General features: G+C 41.2%; 1 annotated feature.

Moving 5' to 3' along the window:
* Positions 2,799–3,002: a silencer, noted in NCBI's record as "fragment chr5:144555436-144555639 (GRCh37/hg19 assembly coordinates)". NCBI's record gives its function as "represses an EF-1alpha promoter that drives an FKBP-Casp9 reporter gene in an ReSE screen in both phorbol 12-myristate 13-acetate-treated (for megakaryocytic differentiation) and untreated K562 erythroleukemia cells {active_cell/tissue: K562 | K562(+PMA)}" and the evidence as "EXISTENCE:reporter gene assay evidence [ECO:0000049][PMID:32094911]".

Below are 3,256 nucleotides of genomic sequence, written 5' to 3'. Positions count from 1 at the left end.
TTCTGAAGGGGATATTCATCACCTGAGTGCAGTGCAGACATACAGGTGATTTCTGGGAAAGTTGGTTGTGCAACTGCAAACTTTGCTCCACAGGAAGTCAAGAGAACTCCTCCCAACCCAGAACATAAGTTATTCATGAGCTTGGGGATGAAAGGCATGTGATGGGCTTCAGAAATATAAAATGCCTAATGTTGTCTCCATGTCAAGGAGAAGCACTTTTATCTTTATGAAAGAGAGAACAGAGAGAGAGTATTTTTTTCCAAAAAAACAACTTTTGTATCTTTCATGACATGTTTAGTACAAAATTAGTTTTCTTCTTTTTCCCTCCCCCTAACCTCCACCTTCACCTCGAAACATCTGGAATTTTAATATTGTGGAGTTAGATTAGAAAAAAATGAATTAAATGGGAGATAAACAATTTAACATTTATATAAGGATACTGTATGATACTTATATACTTGTGTTAGCAAAATGTTTGCTTTTCACTTTGTTTTCTTCTGTCCCTACCATCATGATGTTATAGAATTATTTTCTTTTAAAGAAAAATGATAAGTTTTCATATTTATTGATGTTTACTGTGTCCCAGGCACTGTGCTCTAAGTACATTATTTAATTTACTGCTTGGAATAATACTAAGAAGTAGGAACTGATCTCTTTTCCCCATTTTATAGATAAAGAAACTGAGCTCAGAGAGATAAAGTAGAAAATGTCAGACTAGTTTAGGCAACCAACCATGGTAAGATGTCATACGGTAGTAGTAACTTATTTAGTTTATACAAATTACACTTGAAGAGACAGAATCAGAATTTATTCCTAGACTTGCTTAACTCTGGAGCCTCTCTAAACCCTTCATAGTGTGGTACGGGAACAAGCAGCATCCACACACCTGGGAGCTTGTTAGCAATGCAGACTCTCAGGCCTCATGTCCAGTAGGGCACTGGCAAGTGTTCTGCAATCAGCTTTTTTGGGAGATGTGTGTGTCGAGGAGGTACTTTGTAGTGTTTGCAGATTTCTACGGTTTGAATGCTCTCACCGTGGCCGATTACAAGCTACCACCGTCATCACTGACCACAGGTTCAGGAAGAGATGTGAACCATGGATTAGCTCCCTGGAGGAGAGGCACACTGAAGCAGAATCTTTACTTCTACTAATTCTCCAGGCAATTCACATGTTTGAGAAGCACCAGTCTAAGCTACTGCTTTATATTGCCTCACTTTTTGGATTCCTAGGAGGTCTGTGGTCCTGGTCTGGTATTTTGTTGCCCCTTCATCTCCCACCATAGTGCAGGTAACAGGACAAGACTTTCTGGCTGACAAACCTGGGATGGAGCAGCAGATGCAGTCGGACTTCTAATCTCTGGGACTCGTGGTGGGGGGCTCAGTGTAAAGAAAGTTGCATTCAGGGAAATGGCCTGCTGTAACTCAGCAGAGACTTAGCCATGCACTCTGAGGGAGGCTCAGGAAAGCTGAAAAACCATCTCTACATGCCTTTATACAAGGCTTTTCCTGACTGAGAAGAGAATTTGCACTGCAAGACATTTGGGGATCAGAAAGTTAGAATCTTTTGCTTTCCTCTCCTATTGATTAGCCATCTTCTCATGTCTGGCTGCATTTATCCCACGAGTATAATAGAGAGAAAACATGATAATAGGGAGGCTTATATTTTACTCTTCATGCCTTTTATCTGGAACCCAACTAAAATCAAGTCTATTTTTCTTGTTTTGCAAGTAGAAACAGAGACTTACTTAAAAAGTGTTTTGTAGGGTATGAATTGAGAATAAGACGTAGTTTGACCAATCTTCTACATTCCCTCTAACAATAGACTGAAATATAATAGCTAATAAATGAAAAAATACTAGAGAGGAGAGAAAACTTGAAAATTATTTAAACAAAAACTCTGACAGATGGGAAAACAAGGGCCCAGGAGGTTGGAGAAATGAGCTCATTGGCACACTCTCATGGGGCTAGGGAGCGATGAGGCCACCAACTATTCTAACTGCTACTTAGACTTCACCGAAACTTACTCAGCTTACTCTTACAATGTCCTCCTACCTCCCTAACCAGGACTATCTCCTATATTTTCTTCCCCCTCACCCATTCTGATAACTTCAAATACTGCCTATAAACTAATGAAACTCAAACCAATTTTCTAGCCCAAATCTCATGAACCTATAAGACTTCCTCATTTGAACACTTTATTGATGCCTCCAATTCAACTTGTCTTCCTACTTTTTTCCTAAGGAAATTCTCTTTCTGTGTTTCCATAGCACTCACGTCTCCCCATCACAGTACTTAAAATACTATATTTAATTGTCACTTTGTTTCTCATGCATGACAATTTTAAGCCCACAAGAGCAGTGGCTATGTTTGGTTTACTGTCTTATCCCTAGCACCTAGCACAATACTTTGCACATTATAGAATGATCACAATTTCCTCAGTTTAACACAGGTGAGTTATTTTGAGTTCCCCAGAAGGCAGAGACTGAGGCAAAGGATTACTGCTGCTAATTTGATAGGGAATATAGTCCCATGGATCAGGAGTAAGGATCAAAGGTAAAGCAGAAAAGGAGAGAAAGCCAATATAAGGATGCAATAGCAAGTTGGCCACCCAAGAAGTTGTATAAACTGGGTCTCAGGGGCTGGGTGTGGTGACTCATGCCTGTAATCCCAGCACTTTGGGTGGCTGAGGTGTGCAGATCACGAGGTCAGGAATACGAGATCAGCCTGATCAATGTGGTGAAACCCCATCTTTACTAAAAATACAAAAATTAGCTGGGCGTGGTGGCACCTGCCTATAATCCCAGCTACTTAGGTGGCTGAGGCAGGAGAATTGCTTGAACCCGGGAGGCAGAGATTGCAGTGACCTGAGATCGCACCACTGCACTCCAGCCTGGTGACAGAGTAAGACTCCGTCTCAAAAAACAAACAGACAAAAAGCAGGTCTCAGGACCATTCATCAGGGAGAGAAAGGGGAAATCCAAAGCCAAGGATTATAGATTTGCCCCATGTGGCATTAATACCACTTAACTTCCAGGTTATACATGGGTGGGTGTCAGGTGGCTTCCCAAACCTCAGAGTCAACAGGGGAGCCCTGGGACAAAAGGCAAGAAGTATATAGAATGGTATATGAGGTGATGCTCCAAATAGGGCCTGGAGCTTATCCCTGACCCTTCCTCTCTTTTAGTCCCCCATCTCCCATGAATTAGCATATCTTTACCAAAATACCTCTAAAGTATGCCCTTTTATTTCTTTCCCCA

This window comes from Homo sapiens, chromosome 5, assembly GCF_000001405.40.
Source record: "Homo sapiens chromosome 5, GRCh38.p14 Primary Assembly".
NCBI classification, from domain to species: Eukaryota; Metazoa; Chordata; class Mammalia; order Primates; family Hominidae; genus Homo; species Homo sapiens.
The sequence above is the reverse complement of the archived record's forward strand: the minus strand, read 5'-3'. Positions and strand labels throughout refer to the sequence as shown.